Genomic DNA, 21598 nt, shown 5'->3' with positions numbered 1-21598 from the left:
AGAATTTTGAATATAACTTCTCTTAAAGTATGAACAGCCTAGGCATTTACACATACACACATGTGCGTGTACATGCACACGCACACACAGACACACACACACACACACACACACACATCTTCTCTCTCTTTACTTGTCAATATTACCTTTATCTTTTACCCTCCTGATCAAAAAGTGCTAGAGGCTACTACTGCAGAAACCTGAGGCCCCTCACTGACACACCTGAGTTTCTTCTTGGCATCATCAGAAGGCACACACTGTACATTCTGTTCTTCCTGGACAGTGACACACAGAAGCAGCCACTAACATGTTACCCTTTAATAATTTCCATGTGGTTGTTTGTACTCGAATGTGAGAAACACCCTTCAGAGTTTTTGATAGAGTCTGCAGAAAGCAGCCAGAGCAAAGTGAAGTGAATGTCCACCATTCATTTGCCAAGAATGTACTTTGTTCTCTATTTCACAAGAATTTCTCCTATTTGGTATGATTGTGGACATTAGAAAGGAAAGTTTGCACCCAAATGGGTCACAGTGATCCCTGTTCAGTGAAAGATCACTGAGAAGCAAAATCTGATGAAAACTGTCATACCCAATGCCCAGTGCTGCTGTAGTAGCCTGATGTTCTGCATCCTGAAACTTGTTACTCCAAGATCAAGTGGCAGTCGAGTGAATACACAAAAATCCCTGCTAGATAGGATAATAGGTACATTGTTGATAAGTGGGTAATACAAAGAGAATAGGTAACATTTATGAAGAACTAATTTTGAGCTAGGCACTAAATTGTCAATTGTCACCGACGTTGAGAATACCTACAGAATAAGAAACCCAGAACACAGAGATGTTAAGTAATGTTACCAGTGCACAGCAGCCAGAATTACATCCCAGGCAATCTGACCCCTGAGCCCATGCTCATTCCCACTACACTGGACATCCTGATTAGGGGCCTGTTGTGTGTGTGTGTGTGTGTGTGTGTGTGTGTGTGTGTGTGTGTGTGTGTGTGTGTTTATATAAGGCTTCTACTGGACTCATTTTTTTCAGAATGCCAATGAATCATATTCTTTCTCTTTTTAATATTCAGCAAACCAGGAAGGCCAAGAAGGGAGAACATAGGCTAAAAATATTCTAAAATAAACCTAAGGTGTAGCATGAAACCTTATAAGCAAGAAATGGAATGTTTTGGTTACTAGGTGGTCCCCTGTTCATGGAACTGTTGCCTATGTCTGAGATGATTTTTTTAATCAGCTGCTAAAAACATTAGAGATGACTGTGGTATATACTCATGAGTGGTAAATGTGAGGAGTTTTATTCTTGCTCTTGTTTTATTTTAATATATTTTTCCCATATCATTCTAATAATAGCTTTGACAGCTTTAAAGGGGATTTTTTTGTTTTAATACTAAGTTATCTGTTCTCTTAGAACCTTTTTAAATGGGGGAATGTAAGGAATTATGTGATACTTCTATAAACTGCTTTTCAGTTTTACAAAGCACCTTCATGCCCATTATCTTCCTGAATTCTCATAACAATCCAGAAAGGAAGTTCTACTATACCCGTTTAACAAATAAGGCAACTGAGAGACAGACCTTGATGTATATACTCATGGCCTCTGCCAGTGAGTTGCATAGTGAGGACTGTGAGTTCCCAGAAGGCAGAGACCTCGTTTAATCATCTTTATAGCAAGTGTCTAAAGCAATGTCTGGCACGTAGGAAACGCTTAGTGAATGTTGCTGAATGAACGAATGAATGGGACTCAAATATAGCGCTTTTGCTAGCTAATGCCAGACTCTGAAGTGTGGACTATACCATGTTTTCATTTATTAAACACCAATTTATTGAGTGCCTAAGTCAGAAGAAACACTGGGTAACTTCTCATTTTAGTTACCTAGCCCAAAAAATTTCTTGGCCTTCCACTGGACTTTCCTCATGCTCAGTGGAAACTCCTTGAGGGTAGGACCTTCCTGATGGAACAGCTGTCAATCAACATAGTGGACTGCATTTAATGCTTTCAGATAAAGATGGCTTGAAAATTTATTCTGCAAAGAATAAATTTAAAAGCAAATAAAGAAAACTTGGGAGGAGTGGCTTCTGAGGAGACGCTTCCAAGAAAAGACCAAAAATGAAGAAACCTTTTTCCTGTTATCCTTCACTATATTACGGGCCGAGGCTAACTGTGTGGTTGAAGAGCTCTGGTTCATATTTTGGTGCCACTGACAAACAGCTCAAAGAATCAGTGGTTGAGGCCAAGGAAATAGTATTTAAAAATAAGCTATTAATAAAACACTTAAGAGGAAAACAGCAGCCACTTCCAGATTATGGGTTTTTACCACAAGAACCACCAATGATGGTTTAGAGAGCAATGGAGGGTGAAAAAATGTGAATACTCATACTTCATAGGAGTGGGTATCTGTTTCATTTGGAATGTCCTATTCTAAATACAGGATTGCTCTTTCTTAAATGAGAAAAATGCATGTTTTCAAAATCAGAATCAGAACATTGTGTTCTTTGAAATATATAAATTCATAGCAGTTGCTTGATGCCACTCATTTATAGAATTATAGGTAATTTTAACATTTCATATCATTTTGGAATATATAGTTAAATCTCAGTTACTCAAAATGTAACAAATGGAAACACTTGTATAACTGACCCGTATTACTTTATTCAGCCTAAGAAATATCAAGGTTATAGCAGACATCTTTTTAAAGAGCAATCTTGGCTATGTCTTGGAGGAGCAACATATTCACTTCAATTTCACTTACTCCCAGTATCCACATTGTATGATGATGATAAGTAATAATTGTCTAGAACAGAATTTCTCAAAATCTAGTTTTTACACCACCTACATTTAAAAAAATATGGTTTGCTAGATTCTATTCATCACAATCTATGGTGATAGGGCCTAGGAATCTCCACTTAAAATAACAACTTAAAGTGATGATTTTGCACATTAAAGTTTAAGAACCATAGGTCTGCAGTGACAGACTGCATTATTTTCTCTAATATCAGAAGACAACAAAATTATACTTTGAGACTCTACTTCCTGAGGTCAAAAAAAATGGATTAATAGACTCTAAGAATGAAAACAAAATAACCTTTCTTTACAATCAATTTAATTATTGAATTAAGTTACTAGCCCATTCATTAAGCATTCCAGTTAATTTGGATTTACCATAAATAGAAATGTAAGAGGCTGAGAAAATGAATTTGTGCTAAACCGGCACAAAGCATGTTAATGAATGCTTCTTTGAGTTGTACTCAGGGCAGCATTAAGAAGAGAAGCCTTCTTTGGTAACATTTGACATTCTCTTCTTAGAACCTTGTGAAGTTTCCCCATTTCTGAGTTGAAAGAAAATGCCAAATTGCTATAACACTTTTCCAGCCTTTTGTTAACTTTCCTTGATTATCAAAAGTCAATGCTCTTTGCTCCTTTGCATGGCATTAAGTGTTATTGGGTGTCTAATTCCTTACATCTTGACATTTGGTGCCTCAAGGCACCTTATGGCCTGAGCAGATGAAGGATGTCAACATAACGTGTCTTATAGTTCTGGGTCTATTTCCTAAGCATTTAGGATGTGACTAACACTGTCCCCCTTCTCCACAGGGCAGAGATGTAACATTGACATTGATGAGTGTGCCTCCAATCCCTGTCGCAAGGGTGCAACATGTATCAACGGTGTGAATGGTTTCCGCTGTATATGCCCCGAGGGACCCCATCACCCCAGCTGCTACTCACAGGTGAACGAATGCCTGAGCAATCCCTGCATCCATGGAAACTGTACTGGAGGTCTCAGTGGGTGAGTAGCTGCCCCATGTGATAGTTTCTTATTGACCTGTGTTAAGCCAGTTGGCTTGTAGTACTGGTGACAGCCTGAAGTTGTCAAATGGGGCTTTGAGCTGAAACTTTGCTGAAGATTTGGTAGTCTGCATCAAAGCCTTCTGAATTACCATTTAATCCATGGAAGCTGGCCCCTCCCTTCCATAAGTGAGGACCTAGATGGAACATAAGGAGGAATGTCTCCCTTATATGGGTCATTAGCAAGGACCTCATGGGAGGAACCCATACTCATTGTATGAATCTTTGGCAGTTATGTTTTTAGTATGTATTACTGGAATGATTTCTGAAGAATGTTCTAGCTTTTGATTTTTTTTCCCCTGCTTAAACATAGCTCAGCTCTGTTCTGTCACAGTGCCAGTGTGTGCTCTGAAGTAGGGCCGCTTCAGCCAACTTTAGAAATGTCCCTGATAAAACATTTGCAATTTTTAAGCCCCACAGACTTGTGTGATGTGTTAGTGATTTTCTAGAATCATAGAGTGACCTTAGGTCTCACGAGACGCTCTTATACTCTTGCTGCATTTGCCATAGGATATGGCTTTGGACATTTTCCTTTGCCAAACTTTGAAAGATGAAAGGATAAAGAGTGTTTAGTGGCAAATAGTAAATAAAGTTATTTAAAAATTAATTAACTCAGTATTGGTGTTTCAGAGTATAGCAGCCTTCAAGGCACCCTTATCCATCTCTCATTTTCTTAAAATTCTCCCGATAAGAAAGCTATCATTTCCTGATATCACATTCTAAGTGTTAGTGATGTTCAAATTGGAGATTATATTTACAATTCAAATACCTTCATTCCTGTGCCTTTTCCTGCAGAATACCCTAGGTGCTTTCTGAAGCCAAGTGTTAGGTCAAGACAAAGCATGACTTAGATATGAAATATCCCAGGAGCATCTTAGAGTGGCTCAGGGTCCCTGACAGTGACCTAGGTATCTATTTGGCACCAAAAACTAATGATCTTAATGTTTGCTTTACTTTAGTTTTATGTATAATAACATACATTGTGCAGATTTATCCATGATATTGTTTCCTTCAGAGTGGCCCAATATATTGTAGAAACCATTGTTTACATAAGAAATTTCATTATAATTTCACTAACTTAGTGAGCCAGGAAAGCACCAAGAAGGTTTCTTTACTGGATACACCTGATAGGGCCACATGGTACACACCATGTGCAAGGTGATGCAAGGATAGTTCCATGAAAGTAGAAATGAGATCAGTTTACCCCATTTCTTCACCAAGTCCTGTATTTCACTCTATGACTCAATCATACGTTTATACCTCCTATAGTAAAAAGTTTTGTCTTCTTTCAGATATAAGTGTCTCTGTGATGCAGGCTGGGTTGGCATCAACTGTGAAGTGGACAAAAATGAATGCCTTTCGAATCCATGCCAGAATGGAGGAACTTGTGACAATCTGGTGAATGGATACAGGTGTACTTGCAAGAAGGGCTTTAAAGGTGAAAACAAAAGTACATCTTTCTGCGTCTGCTCTTTGTCTTCTTGTTGTTGCATACTGCTTGACTCACTTCTTAGTTTCCTTTTCTCTTTTTCATTCATTCGTGTAACAAACATATTGAGCAATTAGACTTGTAAGGCACTTGGGGAATAAAAACATGAATAGATACAATTTCTACCTTCAGCCTAGCAGAGAGGTGACCTATTGAAATAGTAATTTTTTTTTTTTTTGACACAGAGTTTTGCTCTTGTTGCCCAGGCTGGAGTGCAATGGTGCGTGATCTTGGCTCACTGCAAGCTCTACCTCCCGGGTTCAAGCCATTCTCCTGCCTCAGCCTCCCTAGTAGTTGGGATTACAGGCATATGCCACCACACCCGGCTAATTTTGTATTTTTAGTAGAGACGGGGTTTCTCCATGTTGGTTAGGCTGGTCATGAACTCCTGACCTCAGGTGATCTGCCCACCTCGGCCTCTCAAAGTGCTGGGATTACAGGCGTGAGCCACCGCACCCAGCCTGAAATGGTAATATTTAAGATGAGCAGTTAAGACTCCAGTTTTACAGCATTGGCCAAGTGTCTAATTATAAGCTTCCTGGTCCAGGTTTGAGTCTATGATAGTTCAAATAGATATATGGAAGTAGAATGAAAATATTATGCTTACTATAATTAAGATAGTAGTAATATCAAGGAAGAATCCACATGTTCAGAACTCTTTCAACAAACTTTTTAACACATTGAGATATTCTTAGTTATTTAGTCATCTTTGGTCTACACCGGAGGTCCTCAACCCTCAGGCTACAGACCAGTACCTGTGTGTGGCCTGTTAGGAACCAGGCCACACAGCAGGAGGTGAGCAGCCAGTGAGGGAGCAAAGCTTCATCTGTATTTATAGCCACTCCCCGTCACTCACATTACCGCCTGAGCTCTGTCTCTGTCAGATCAGTGGTGGCCTTAGATTCTCATAGGACTGCGAACCCTATTGTGAACTCCACATGTGAAGGATGTAGATTGTGCGCTCCTTATAAGAATCTAGTGCCTGATGATCTGTCACTGTCTCCCATCACCTCCAGATGGGACTGTCTAGTGGCAGGAAAACAAGCTCAGGGCTCCCACCAATTCTACATTATAGTAAGTTGTAAAACTACTTCATTGTATATTACAGTGTAATATTATAATAATAAAAGTAAAGTGCACAATAAATGGGATGTGCTTGAATCATCATCCTAAAATCATCCCCCCAACCCCGGATCATGGAAAAATTGTCTTCCACGAAACCAATCCCTGGTGCCAAAAATGCTGAGGGACTGCTGGCCTACCCAACAAATGGATAGTCATGGGAATTGTGTAAAATCTGCTTCTGAGTTATCACTGTTATATTTCTACCATCAGTTTTCTCTTGGAAACTCACAAAAGAGAGCCGTGTGGGTAAATCATTATATTTGCACTCATCTGTCTATTTATTCATTGATTTCCTCACTCAAATATTGTGCTATGCTATTGTGATACATCAGCATGTTTTAGAGCCACTTTATTTGATTACTTGAAACATTTCTGAGACTGTATTTCAGCCATTAATTTTCTGATATATTGTATTACATTGGCAAAGAAACTTGTAGATTTCAAAACACTTTTATTTCTTTATCTTCTGAGACTTGCTTATCAGTGAACAAAATAAAATTCAAAAGGTAAAATCCCAAATTATATGCCCAGTGGGCAGCAGAATACTCCTTGAACCCATACCTCTGCATTCCTAGACCATGTTTTCTTTTCCACAGTGCCATAGTTTCTCTACTTTAAGGCTCTGTGCCAGGCCCTATTGGAGATGCAAAGGTGTGCAGTATTTGGGTACTGTGCTATCTCCACTAATTTTTTATTCCTTTTATCCTTTTCTTAGTGGGAGAAGGTTTCATGCCTTGAATCAGGAGAAAACAGCTTTGTAACTTCAGGAAGTACCACATGGGTGGTAGACATGGTGCCTATGAAAAAATGGGCATAAACCAGAGGCTTTGATTAATGTATTCAAAAACATCATCCCTTTTCCTGACCAGAAATGTTATATACAAAGAGCTTATGTTTATCATGCAACAAGCTATTGGCTGGGTGCGATGGCTCACACCTGTAATCCCAGCATTTTGGGAGGGTAAGGTGGGAGGATCACTTGGCCACAGAAATTGGAGACCAGCCTAGGCAACATAACGAGACCTCATCTCTACAAGAAATTTAAAAAATCAAGTGGGCATGATGGCATGCACCTGTGGTTCTAGCTACTCAGGAGGCTGAGGTGGGAGGATTGCTGAGCCCGAGAGGTCGAGGCTGCAGTGAGCCATGATTACACAACTGCACTCCAGCCTGAATGACAAGAGTGAGACCCCCTGTCTCAAAAATAAATAAATAATAAATAGATCCTGCAACAAGCTTTTGAACCAAGAACTTCATTATTGAGAAGTTATTTGTAGTTGGAGGGGCATTAGGCTTTCAGATCATTAGAATAGACTGTTTTTCCATTCATCTTTTCAACTAATTGCTGTCATTTACTGACTGTATTTCAGGGACATGGGGCTGAAATGAATGAACAGGTATTTCAGTGGCCTGAAGAAATGAATGCAATTTCTGATGTGTTCAGTTTTTACCCCTAAAGAGAATTGGTTAGAAATTGATGAGGCTGTCAGAAAGTTTTACTGTTTTTGGTTTTTTCCTTTTGTCTACAGGCTATAACTGCCAGGTGAATATTGATGAATGTGCCTCAAATCCATGCCTGAACCAAGGAACCTGCTTTGATGACATAAGTGGCTACACTTGCCACTGTGTGCTGCCATACACAGGTGGGTCCTGGAGGTACCAGCAGGGACCAGAGGGGATACTTGACCTTGCTTTGTCAGTGCCTGAGTCTCAGTGCCCAGGTCTGTGGGGCTGTAATGCTCCTCCGAGGGCTCACTCCTCAGTTGTCCTTCCTGCCTTTACTGACTGGATCTTGAGCTTTGAGGAAACATTGTGGCCTCCTAAGATGCAAGTGGTGGACAGTCATTTGCCTACATTGTACTTTAGTATTTGAAAGAAATTTTTTTTTAATTGTATGTGGCTGGAACCAGGCACATAGATGATGGTTGTCTATCATTTGAATGTTTCCAGGACATTAGCTATTTGTCTTAGTTTCAATAATACAGCTACCACTTATTGGTAATTTACTATGTGCCAGACACTTTTTGTACTTTGGATTATTTAATGTATTCCTCAATAATTCTACAATGTAGAAGTTCCTATTGCCATTTTACACATGAGGAGGCTGAGGCAAAGGGAGCTTGCTTGCTCAAGGTCATATAGGTAAGTAGTACATCTAGGATTTACCTGTAGGTCTCTTTGAATCTGAAGCTTTTCCTCTTAATGGCCTTTTTACTTCCCACATTCAGTACCGCTACATCTCACTCAGAGGTGTCACCCCTTCGATGGCTGTTACAACTGAGAAGACGTGAGTGTGACTGCATGTCACATAGCTGTTCTTTGTTTCAGTTGTTATGTTTGGAGTGTGCTTGGGACATTTATTCTTTGTTTTCTACTGGCTTATTATCGCCTTCTTGTGATTGGTTATATTTCTATGGCTTGTTTATCTCCTCTTCATCTATTTTTCTCATTCAGAGGGAACAAAACACAAACATAGACAATAACTTTGCCTGTTTCATCAGGTTGCGGCATGCAGTCAGGAGCATGGCTGAGTTATTACTTCCCTGGAGTCTTGAGCTGTTAATAGCAGCTGTTAATAGTGACTCTAAGTTGTGTAGAGTAGCAGAATAGCCATAGCATGACTGTGTTACCTGAAAGACTTGATAGCACATTGTTACTTTTTCCCCTCTAGAAGAAATAGTAGGCCAGGCACGGTGGCTCACCCTGTAATCCCAGCACTTTGGGAGGCCGAGGCAGGCGGATCACGAGGTCAGGAGATCACAGCCATCCTGGCTAACATGGTGAAACCCCGTCTCTACTAAAAATATAAAAAATTAGCCGGGCGTCGTGGTGGGTGCCTGTAGTCCCAGCTACTCGGGAGGCGGAGGCAGGAGAATGGCATGAACCTGGGAGGTGGAGGTTGCAGTGAGCCGAGATCGCATCACTGCACTCCAGCCTGAGAGTCAGAGTGAGACTCCGTCTCAAAAAAAAAAAAAAAAAAAAAGAAATAGTAGTGTAGGGAAACTACATTTAACAGGCCTAGTTCATAAAATCACAGTTGTAGGAGGTCCCTAACTATCTTGCCCAAGGTTACACAGTTAACAATATCAGAGCCAATGCTGGAAAGATCATGGGCTTCTCCATTTTCAAAGCCTCTTAATCAGGACTTTTGACTTGAATTCAGAGAACATCCTTGGGATAAGGAAAATTTTCGTTTTCTTACCTGTTTATCTGTCATAAACTCTGTCATTTACTTTCTAGGCAAGAATTGTCAGACAGTATTGGCTCCCTGTTCCCCAAACCCTTGTGAGAATGCTGCTGTTTGCAAAGAGTCACCAAATTTTGAGAGTTATACTTGCTTGTGTGCTCCTGGCTGGCAAGGTAAGAACATGGGTGTGGAGAAGCCAAGAACATGCATTCTGACTTTAAACAAAGTGGTCAGGTTATCAGATCATATGGAAGGCCCTGCTGGTCTTATGAGGCCTGTCCATCTTGTCAAGAGCACACAGGTTTTGCAAAGGAGCTGCTACTTGAAATGGCTTAGAAAGCCTTTCCATTGTCCTTGTCTTCGGGGCCCCCTAGCGGCTGGAAGGCTGCAACCTAAGCCTCACAAGCCATGATGTTCATTCTTCAGGGAGTTTAAGCACCTTGGCAGCAACTTCCTAGGCCACAGAAGTCTTCCTGGAACTTCCTAAAGCAGGGGGCCAACCAGTTTGTCTGTGGAATAGCTCCATGCACCCCAACTAAGCTCAGGTCCTGCGTAGATTTTTGTGGGAATCAGCTTCCAAGGACTAGGTCATTTATTGGCCCTGTGTTCCTAGGTCAGCGGTGTACCATTGACATTGACGAGTGTATCTCCAAGCCCTGCATGAACCATGGTCTCTGCCATAACACCCAGGGCAGCTACATGTGTGAATGTCCACCAGGCTTCAGTGGTATGGACTGTGAGGAGGACATTGATGACTGCCTTGCCAGTGAGTATGCCAGTCAGCTCTTAAGCCCCCAGAGGAGAGGAAAACACACAGGGAGCAGAGGAGAGCCCAGTGGAGGCTGCCGCCTTTCACGCCTGACATTGGGCATACCGGTCATTTATCCAGCATATTTAACAGTAGTGTTTTAACTCTTTCTTTTGAAGCTAGTGTCCTTGGGAATTGAGGCAGTGGAATATATTTTAAGCATTCCCTTTAATTTGTGAACATTGAAAATGTGAGGACAATGCTATGATAGTGTTTTTTAAAAAACAGATTTATTGAGGTATAATTAAGGTACATTAAACTGCAAATATTTTCAGTGTACAATTTGGCACATTTTGACATATAGTAAGTGAAACTATCACCCAAAATAATAAACATATTTGTCACCCTAAAACTATCTTCATCCCATTGCAATTTAACCTTCTCTCTTTCTTGCCTGTGGAGTCACAGTTTTACCTTCTGTCACTATAGATTATTAGTTGGCAGATTTTATCATTTTATATAAATGCAGTTAGATAAGCATAAGTCAGGAGAGGTTCTGACTTGTTTTAATGAACATAGTATTTGAGATCCGTCCATGTTGTTTATATCAATAGTACATTCTAGTTTATTGTTCTGCAGTATTCCATTGTATGGACATATTACAGTTCATTGGTTGATGGCCATTTGGGTGTTTTCCAATTTGGGGATATTACAAATGAAGTTGCTATGAATGAGTCTTTGTGTGGACATATGGTTTTAGTTCTCTTGAGTAAATACCTAGGAGTAGAATCGGTGAATCATGTCGTAAGTGTATGTTTCACTTTTTAAGAAATTGCCAGAATGTTTTCCAAGGTGGTTGTACTATTTTCATTCTCACCAGAATTGTATGAAAGTTCTGTTTGAACCATATGCTCACAAACTCTTGGTGATATCATTTAAATTTAGCTCTTCTAGTGGGTGTAGAGTGGTATTTCATTGTGATTTTAATTTGTATTATTCTCTCTGCCAATGATGTTAAGCATCATTTCGTGTGCTTTGCCCATCTGCCTATCTTCGTTGGTGAAATGTCTATTTAAATTTTTTGCCCATTTGAAATAATTAGGTTGTCTTCTTGAGTTGAAAGAGTTCTTTGTATTTTTAAATAAGAATTCTTTGACAGGTATTTGCTTCCCAATGATTTCCCTCCAATTTATAGCTTCTCTTTTGATTTTCTTTTGAAGAGGAAAATGTTAACATTGATGAAATTCAGTGTATGCATGTTTTTCCTTTATAGTTCATGCTTCATGTATCTTGTTTAACAAATCTTCACCTAATCCAAATTTGAGGTTTATCTACTGTGGTTTCTTCTAAAAGTTGTGTAATTTTAGCTCTTACATTTTGGCCTATGATTTGTTTTGAGTTAATTTTTACATATTGTGTGACTTAAAAGTCAAGTTTAATTTTGTTTTCTTACTGTACTAAACTAACTTCTTATTAGTTGTAGGTTCGTAGGTTAGCCTCTAGATAGTTTAGATTCTTAGGATTTTCTACAGATACAATCATCCTGTCTATAAATAACCCTTATGCCTTTTAATTTCTTTTCAACCCTGTATGCCTTTTATTTATTTTAGTATTATTGTACTAAGATCTTCAATAAATACAGAATAGAAGTGGTGAGAGAAGCCTTACCTTGTTTTTGATCCTAGGGGAAAAGTATGTAGTCTTTTACCATTAAGTGAGATGTTACCTATAGGTTTTCATAAAGGCCCTTTATCAAATTGAGAGACCTTGTACTTCTGGTTTTTAAGAGGTCTTTTTGTATTTTTATAATGAATGAATGTTGATTTTTTGGTGTGCAATTGATTTCTCTACATCTGTTGACATGGTGATATTATTTTTTGGTCTTTTAATGTAAGTAAATTGTCATCAACTTTATTTAACATTTTGCAAATGTTAAAAGCTAATCTTAAATTTATGGGCTATATTCCACTTGGTCATTATGTGTTATTCCTTTTATGTATTATTGGATTTGATTTGCCAAAATGTTGTTAAGGATTTCTATATCTGTGTTCATGAAGGATATTGTTCTCCAGGTTTCTTGGACTACCATTGTCTGGTTGTGATAAGAGGGCAATGCTGTCCTCATAGAACATATCAGGAAGTGTTTTTCTTTCTACTTTCTGGGAGAGTTTGTGTAGAACTGGTGTGTTTTCTTCCAAATATATAGACATGGAACCTTCTTTCTGGGAAAGTTTTTAACTACAAGTTTGGTTTTCCTAATACATATAAGTGCCATATGGGCTATCTGTTTTTAATTGAGCTTTGGTAATATCTGTCTTTCAAAGAATTAGTCCAATTCACCTGTTTTGTCAAATTTGTTGACATAACATCAATTTGTTTTATAACATTTCCTTACTGTGCTTTAATAGTCTATTAGATCTGTGATGGTTTCCTTCTCTTGTTTCTACTATTGGTAATTTGTCTCTTCTTTCTTTGAAAGGGAAGAATGTCTGTTTTGCAGATTTTTTTCATACAGTGTTCTATAAATGTTATTAATTCAAATTGGATAGGGTAGTGTTATTCAGGTCTTTTATGTCCTCTATGACTTTCTGTCTACTTATTATTCATAGAATATAATAAGGAGGCTTTCTGTTTACTTCTTATTCAAGAGTATTGAAATCTTTTACTATCATTGTATATTCATCTGTTTCTCTAGTAATTCTATTTGTTTTGGCTTAATGAATTTTGAAACTCTAATCTTAAGTGCATAAACATTTAGGGTTCTTATGTCCTTTTGAGGAATTGACCCATTTATCATTTTGAAATGGCCTTTTTAAACTCTTGTCATATTTCTCTCTCTGAAGTCTACTTTGCCTGATACTGATATAGCTACTCTAGCTTTATTTTATTATTAGAGTGTGTTTTTAAAAATCCTTTTACTTCTGGCCTGTTTCTCTAAAATGGGTTTCTTGTAGAGAGCGTATATTGGGTCTTGTCTTTTTTTCTCCAGTATGATGGTGTCTATCTTTTAATTCAGGTATTTAGACTGTTTAAATTTAATGTAGTTTTTATATGGCTGGCTTCAAAATATGCCATCTTGCTGTTTGCTTTATCTTTGTTCTTCTGTGTATTGTTTCCATTTTCCTTTTTCTGACATCTTTTGAAATAATTGAGTATTTTTATGATTACATTTTATCTACATACATAAATTTCAAAACTTTATCTATATTCACTACCATATTGGTTACATATTTTTTAGTAGTTATTGTAGGGTTTACTGGTGTGCAGCTTTAACTTATTATAATGTACCTTCAATCGTACCACTTCATATAGAGGAGAAGAGCTGTACACTCACATTTACATTCCTCCTGGCCTCTCTTCTATTGTTGTTATAAAATGTATATAGCATTAAACCCATCAAATATGTAATTAAAAGGTCAATTTTTTTCAAGATATTTGAAAAATAATTTAAAAGTCTTTAAGTTACCTACGTATTTTCAAGTCTTATTGGTCTTTATTCTTTTATGTAGATTTGTGTTTCCATCAGGTATCATTTTCCTTCTGTCTGAAAAAATCCCTTGAATATTTTGTGTAGTCTTTGTCTCCTGGTGATGAAGTCTTTCTGTTTTTGTGTGTCAGAAAGGTTTTTATTTTGCTTTAGTTTTCAAAGATATTTTCACAGGGAGGAGAATTCTAAATTGACTTTCTCTTTCAGCACTTTAAAGCTATCCTATTATCTTCTTCCTTGCATTATTTCTGAGGAGAAATCTGCTGTTATTCCACAATTCTTTTATCTGTTCCTTCATATATAATTCTCTCTCCTGTGGCTGCTTTTAAGATATCCTCTTTCCACTGATTTTTACCAACTTGATTATAATGCCTGTTGGTGTGGTGGTCTTTTTTTTTTTTTTTTTTTTTTAGACTGAGTCTCGCTCTGTCGCCCAGGCTGGAGTGCAGTGGCGTGAACTTGGCTCAATGCAAGCTCCGCCTCCTGGGTTTGCGCCATTCTTCTGCCTCAGCCTGCCAAGTAGCTGGGACTACAGGTGCCCGCCACCACGCCCGGCTGATTTTTTGTATTTTTAGTAGAGATGGGGTTTCACCGTGTTAGCCAGGGTGGTCTTGATCTCCTGATCTTGTTATCCGTCCACCTGGACCTCCCAAAGTGCTGGGATTACAGCGTGAGCCACCATGCCTAGCCTGGTGTAGTGTTCTTTATGTTTCTTCTGTTTGGAGTTTACTGATATTTTTGGTTATGGGTCCAAGTCTGGAAAATATTTTAACCATTATTTGGTAAATATTTAGCCATTATTTTTTTCAAAAGTTTTTGCGTCTCCCTTTTATAATGTTCATTATGCATTTATTAGGCTGCAAGGTTGATTTATTTATTTTTCAGTGTTTTTTCCACTTAGTGTTTTATTTTGGATTATTTTACTATTTGAAGTTATTTTGTTATACTTTCAAGTTTACTAATTGTTTCCTCTATAGTTTCTCGTTTACTGTTCATCTCATTTAGTATATTTTTCCCTCAGATATTATGTTTTTATATGTGGAAGTTTAATTCAAGTCTTTCTTTTAACGTTACCTCCCTCTTTGTCATGTTCATGCTTTTATTTCCTTCTTGAATATATTGAGTATCGTTGTTTTCTAGTTGATAATAATTGACCATATTTTATTGTCCTTACCTACTTTTCTACCATATGAGAAATTCCTGAGTATGTTTCTGTTCATATTTTTTCTACTCATTTTGAATGTATTTCCTGCTTCTTTGCCTGCCTGGTAACTTTTTACTGGATGCTAGACATCCATCTTACATTGTTCCATGCTGAATTTTTTTAAAAATCTTTTTTAAAAAAACATTTTTGAGCTTTGTTCAAATATTCAATTATTTGGACATAGTTCAATCCTTCAGAGTCTTACTTCAAGGTTTGTTAATTGGTTCCAAAATAGTCTTTAGTTGAGGGCTAATATGGCTCACTACTACAACAGGGGTCCCTCAGGACTCTACTTACTGCCACGTGGTTTTTTTCATTCTTATTGAATAAACATGAGCTGTTCTCAGCCCAGTGAAACCTCTAGGGATTATTCTGCCTACTTCTTTCTGGTGGTTCTTCCCCCAGCCTTAATAGTTTTATTACATGTATGTACTGACCGATCCTTAGTTACTTGTATAGTGATTTAACTTCAAATGAGATTATCACAATGCATTAATAATGGCACCTTAATTTACAGGATATATAACTTCAGATTATCATATAGAGGCCACCATGCTAGGTGCCGGCAGTGATAAGATAAATAAGTTTTAGTTTCTATTTTCATGAAGCTCATAGTCTGTTAGGGAAGAAAGACATATAGACACAGTTCAAGACCAGCCTGGCCACATGGTGAAACCTGGTCTGTACTAAAAATACAAAAATTAGCCAGGCGTGGTGGCAGGCACCTGTAATTCCAGCTACTCGGGAGGCTGATGCACGAGAATCTCTTGAACCCGGGAGGCGGAGGTTGCAGTGAGCCAAGATTGTGCCACTGCACTCCAGCCGGGGCAACAGAGTGAGACTTCACCAAAAAAAAAAAAAAAAAAAGACATATGGACAAATAATTTTAATGATGTATTACAAATAGTGAAAAAGTATCCAAGGCACAATTGATGGAGAACTTTAGGGAGTGAGATCAAGCTGTTTGTATTCCTTTCTCACATTAAGTAACATGTCATTCAAAATATTGAGTATTTTTAAATTTTTCTGTATGAAGTGGGACCAACAATATTTACAATGAGTTTAAAATAATTCAGTAAATTATGGATGGTGAGTTTCCTGAAAGATGCTATGGAAATTATAGTAGCTGTGTACTGTGGTTAAGAAAAACTGAAACAATTTTTACAATTGCTTTAATAGAGATTGCAGATGAGTCTTATAAGGGAATTAGTTCAAGAGATGAATAAAGTATATTAAATGTTTCGCTAATAAAATAAAGGTCACATTACCCTTTAGTTTAGTATTTAGTTTTCATTTTACATGTATGACCTGTCTTTGCAATTATATTTTTAAGTTCCTTAAGAGCCATAGCTACAGCTTATTTTTCTTGTTCTGATTTGTATGGCATATAATTGTAGAGTGCCGTGGCATGACTGTAGCTTAAAATTTGTTGGTTCCTTACTATGAGTATAAAGTGTTCCAAGATCAAGCTATGTGATATTTCAATTTTTATTTAAACTGTGTTTCATAAGGCTACTGAAATCTAAAAGAGAGAGAAAAAGAGAGAGAGAGGAGATGGAAATGAAAGGGAGAGAGAAGATTATATAATTAATATGCCTGGAAAAACATGAATATGTGTATTTTGTCCTCCCCCACACACTCCACAATCACATATACCTTTTGAAAATATTGATTGATATTCTGTGTATTGGGGCACATATTTGATTTCCAAATGTGTGAGGGACCAATGCAAGTTTTATGACTATTAATTTTACAAAACTGTTGGTGGTGACATAGATGAAGTTTATTCCAATTAATAAACAGGTTAAAAACTTCAAGCAAGTATTATTGAATTCATTTTCATAAATGAGGGAGTTGGCAAAATTGAATGAAAAAGTCAGAATTATGCTGCCCCCAGCATGACTTAGTTCAGGTCATTCACTTTTATGAATCTAAGATTAAACTGATGCTACTCTTCAGAGGTCTAATTCTTTTGTAATGGCTTAGATCCTTGCCAGAATGGAGGTTCCTGTATGGATGGAGTGAATACTTTCTCCTGCCTCTGCCTTCCGGGTTTCACTGGGGATAAGTGCCAGACAGACATGAATGAGTGTCTGAGTGAACCCTGTAAGAATGGAGGGACCTGCTCTGACTACGTCAACAGTTACACTTGCAAGTGCCAGGCAGGATTTGATGGAGTCCATTGTGAGAACAACATCAATGAGTGCACTGAGAGGTGAGCAACCAGTCCCTCGGGCATCAGCATCTTACGAGAGAAAGGGAGAAAGGGAAGGAAATTTCAGAGCACAATGCTAGAATTGTGGAGCAGGGATGAGGTGTCCACATGGATCCCAGTCCACAGTCATCTCCTATTGCCCGGTTACTGGTTCCTGATAAACATATATAATAGAAAGTTAAAGGTCAGAGGTTGCAAAGTTTATAGGGATGGTTTATTATTTCTTGCTTAGGGAACAGAAAGAGCTATAATTTTGTTCTGTTCTTCCCTTGGCCTCTCATTCATTTCAAAAATCCAAAAATTCCAGTTTTTCTGCAGAGATTGGAATTGTTACTAGTCTTTAAGTAATTTCTGGGAGTTTTGTTTCATTTCTTTTTATAATATTATGAGCATGTTTGTTCTATTTGTCTTTTATAAATAATCTATAGTGAATAGGACTTTTCAAATAAATTAAATTGACTTAGAGATAAAATGAAATGTGATACATGGGAAAACTACAGAAGGACTGGGTAAAACCTAGAAAACTTCATTTTCTGTAGGTATCTATAGTAAGCTCAGTCTTTTAAATACTTCTAAGCCTTTGATTATAGAAAGGAAGTGGGCACCTCAGAGCTTCTGGCACCCAATCTAGCTTGTAAGAAAGTTTAAGGGATATGGGTTGCTCAGAGGTATTTGCCTCTGTATGATCTTAGATTCCAGAAATCTTACTTTGTAGTAGTAAGTCACAGGCACCAGATACATAGCTGATGTTGCTCTGTTTGCTTCTTAGCTCCTGTTTCAATGGTGGCACATGTGTTGATGGGATTAACTCCTTCTCTTGCTTGTGCCCTGTGGGTTTCACTGGATCCTTCTGCCTCCATGAGATCAATGAATGCAGCTCTCATCCATGCCTGAATGAGGGAACGTGTGTTGATGGCCTGGGTACCTACCGCTGCAGCTGCCCCCTGGGCTACACTGGGAAAAACTGTCAGGTAATTGACTTCCTTCCCATTCACTCAGCTCCCCTAGAGCAGCTGAATATTATACCTGTTCACTTTCTAGTCTGAATAAGTTCCTTCTAAAAGAGAAAATTGTGGATCTCAGGGATTCCCTGAGATAATCTAGGTAACTTCTTAATAACTTGCAGATTCCAAAATGGTGCTGGCAATATGATATAGATTCACAAACATAAGATCTTGAAAAGAGGCTAACCAAGAACTGCAGAAAAATACATGTGGGAAATAAACACAGATTTTTGTTTTTTGTTTTTTGTTTTTTTGTTTTTTACATTGGAAGCACAAAAAGAACTGAAGAAAATAGAGAATAATCAAAATAACCTTTTAAAGGTCAGATGCAACATCTAAGTGTTTAATAATGATAATTGTTGTATCTTGCAATGTGGTAACATTCTCAAAACCAAACAATTTACATATCTTTTAAGTTCAAATATGTAAATACACACTTCCATTAAATTTTAGAATGGAAAGAGCCCTTATAGGCAACTAATCTAACCTTCGATTTCATGGAAGGCGAAACAGCCCCAGAGGGGCAAAGTAACTTTTCCAAAGTTGCATACCAAACAGCCCTGTGTTTAATTTAATGTTATTCTACCTCTTTAATAGTGATAGAATAATAACTCCAAAGAACATAGGAATAAATGGCCAAACTTAACTTGACTTACAGGGCGCACTTAAGTAAGGCTTAGGCTATATTAGACATGTGAGCACCCACCTCCACAAAATTAAGCAGCTTGTTGCTGATTCCATGGATCACGAGAGCATTTTTGGTTGGGCTCCTATTTGTTCTCACAGTGTAGATTGGCAGTGCTGGTGAAGCACTCCTCCCTTCCTCCAGCAAACTGTCTATATTGTGAATTTGGCCTTCCTCTCCTCAAGGGGCCAAGCCACTCCGTGTGTGAATTAAGATGAAAGGTGCCAGTCCTTGTGCACTCTTTGCTTCAGATTTTTCATAAGTCTGATTGCCTTCCTTAGAAATAAGCTCTTAAACGGTTTTAGGCTTATTAACAGGCATTAAGTCCTTTTACCCATATTCACCAAAGATAGATTTGGTCAAGACCCATGTGGATTTCTCACACAGGATTAGCACAGAAAGTATGAACCTGTCTGACAGCTTTAACTCTTTCTTTCTAGCATTACAGGGTGGCTATACATGTAGGCAAATCATGTCTAGAGCATTGGGAATAGCTTAACCTGTTGGGTTTCCCTGAATTTTTAAACTTTTTTGGTAAGAACTTTTTAAATAGAAGACCTAAGAGGAATTAGACTACAGCAGGCCCTCAAGTAACTTTGTTTCCTTCGGTGTCATTTTGTTACAACATTGAGTGGGGGAAAAATCTGTTTTTGGCCAGAGCTGCTATCTGTGTGGGGTTTGCATGTTCTCCCCATGTCTGTGTGGGTTTTCTCCAGGGACTCCAGTTTCTTTCCACAACTCAAAGTCATGTATGTTGGGTGAAGTGGACATGTCTACATTGTCCCATTGTGCCAGAATAGGCTCTGGCCACTCATGAACCTGAACTGGAGTAAGTGAGTTAGAAAATAAATGAATGGGGCCGGGCACGGTGGCTCACACCTGTAATCCCAGCACTTTGGGAGGCCGAGGCAGGTGGATCACGAGGTCAGGAGATCGAGACCGTCCTGGCTAACACGGTGAAACCCCGCCTCTACTAAAAATACAAAAAATTAGCCGGGTGTGGTAGCGGGTGCCTGTAGTCCCAGCTACTCGGGAGGCTGAGGCAGGAGAATGGCGTGAACCTGGGAAGCAGAGCTTGCAGTTAGCGGAGATAGCGCCACTGCACTCCAGCCTGGGCAACAGAGTGAGACTCCGTCTCAAAAAAAAAAAAGAATGAATATACCAATTATTATAAAATGAAAACCCATAAAGCCTATGATAATCATATGAGTGCACAACAATAAACAATGTGGTACAAAACCACCCAGCAAGCCTGCCATATTGGTTAGTGTTGCTTTCTGAGCTGTGTGGTGGTAAGAGGTGCTGACGGTTTTGCTTTGCAAACATTTATTCCTTGACTTGACCTGCCACCACTAGGACTGCTATTACTCATGGATTCACCAAAAATTGGATAAATAATTATCTTGTTTTTATTAATATTTCTTAAATGAATGTATAGCTTGTTTATTTTAATGTTTAATATCAGAAGTGGGTGTTAATTTGAAGTTTAGTGATTTTTTTTTTAACCAGAAATAAGTAGAGGAACTTAACTCTTTTTTATATCAATTAGACTGTGGTAAAATTGGTTTCGTTATATATCGTTGTCCTTAAAGTCACAGTTTCCAAGAACCTAATGATGACATTAAGTGAAGACTTAACGGTACGTAAAAATGGTTAGGTGTACCTCGGAACACTGAATCTAGTTTAAGGGCTCTTTTACTAGATGAAGGCTCTTTTTCTTTTTAATCAGTTTGCTTTTCTTTGATTTCTTGTAACACAATATAACTTCTTTTCTTCATTTCTAGTATTTGAATTTTGATGTATGTACACCCCTGCCTCTGTTTCAGACCCTGGTGAATCTCTGCAGTCGGTCTCCATGTAAAAACAAAGGTACTTGCGTTCAGAAAAAAGCAGAGTCCCAGTGCCTATGTCCATCTGGATGGGCTGGTGCCTATTGTGACGTGCCCAATGTCTCTTGTGACATAGCAGCCTCCAGGAGAGGTAAGCTTTGCTCCCTTGGGCTCAGGTCATTCACTGCAGTATTGACTGTCCAGTGGCATTTAGAGAAGGTATCATTTTTTTGTGGAATAAGAGGGAAGGGCAGATAGTAGTGGGTGGGCAGGGCTCTGGGGAAAGGGCTCAAGACAGAAGGTGTAAGGGTAGAGGAATAGGTTCAGAGATTCGGAGAAGAATGTATTTGAAATGAAACTAAGGTATATTCCACTTTCAGGGTTTATTTTTAATATGCATCTGGTACTGAGGGTTGTGAAGAACTGGCTAAGAATAAGATTGGATGTGTCAGCCAGTTTAGATTTACTTGCTCATTGGTTGATTTGAACCCCATGTGTCACATGTTCTTCTATGACATTTCTCCCTCACTGGGTTTCCCAGGTGTGCTTGTTGAACACTTGTGCCAGCACTCAGGTGTCTGCATCAATGCTGGCAACACGCATTACTGTCAGTGCCCCCTGGGCTATACTGGGAGCTACTGTGAGGAGCAACTCGATGAGTGTGCGTCCAACCCCTGCCAGCACGGGGCAACATGCAGTGACTTCATTGGTGGATACAGATGCGAGGTGAGGACACTGAGCAAGCAGAGGTCATGGACCTCCCAGGAGATTGTA

General features: G+C 38.5%; 1 protein-coding gene across 2 annotated transcripts in view, besides 1 other annotated feature; it reads left to right on the top strand.

Annotated features, from left to right (window-relative positions):
- NOTCH2 (notch receptor 2) overlaps nucleotides 1-21598 on the top strand; it is a 158110-nt gene that overhangs the window by 110831 nt on the left and 25681 nt on the right. For both annotated transcript variants that reach the window (NM_024408.4, NM_001200001.2), the window contains exons 13-21: nucleotides 3600-3792; nucleotides 5144-5289; nucleotides 7995-8108; nucleotides 9706-9825; nucleotides 10266-10418; nucleotides 17078-17306; nucleotides 18076-18277; nucleotides 20822-20975; nucleotides 21366-21550. In NM_024408.4, the coding sequence (NP_077719.2) occupies nucleotides 3600-3792; nucleotides 5144-5289; nucleotides 7995-8108; nucleotides 9706-9825; nucleotides 10266-10418; nucleotides 17078-17306; nucleotides 18076-18277; nucleotides 20822-20975; nucleotides 21366-21550 (1496 nt within the window). The remainder of the gene's footprint in view (nucleotides 1-3599; nucleotides 3793-5143; nucleotides 5290-7994; nucleotides 8109-9705; nucleotides 9826-10265; nucleotides 10419-17077; nucleotides 17307-18075; nucleotides 18278-20821; nucleotides 20976-21365; nucleotides 21551-21598) is intronic.
- Nucleotides 9872-10166: an enhancer, noted in NCBI's record as "tiled regions #11377 and #13297 (exact overlaps); K562 Activating DNase matched - State 12:CtcfO". NCBI's record gives its function as "activates a minimal TATA promoter and a strong SV40 promoter by Sharpr-MPRA in K562 cells {active_cell/tissue: K562}" and the evidence as "EXISTENCE:reporter gene assay evidence [ECO:0000049][PMID:27701403]".

Source organism: Homo sapiens, chromosome 1, assembly GCF_000001405.40.
Source record: "Homo sapiens chromosome 1, GRCh38.p14 Primary Assembly".
Lineage (NCBI taxonomy): Eukaryota > Metazoa > Chordata > Mammalia > Primates > Hominidae > Homo > Homo sapiens.
Note: the sequence above shows the minus strand (reverse complement) of the source record. Positions and strands in the feature narration are given on the sequence as shown.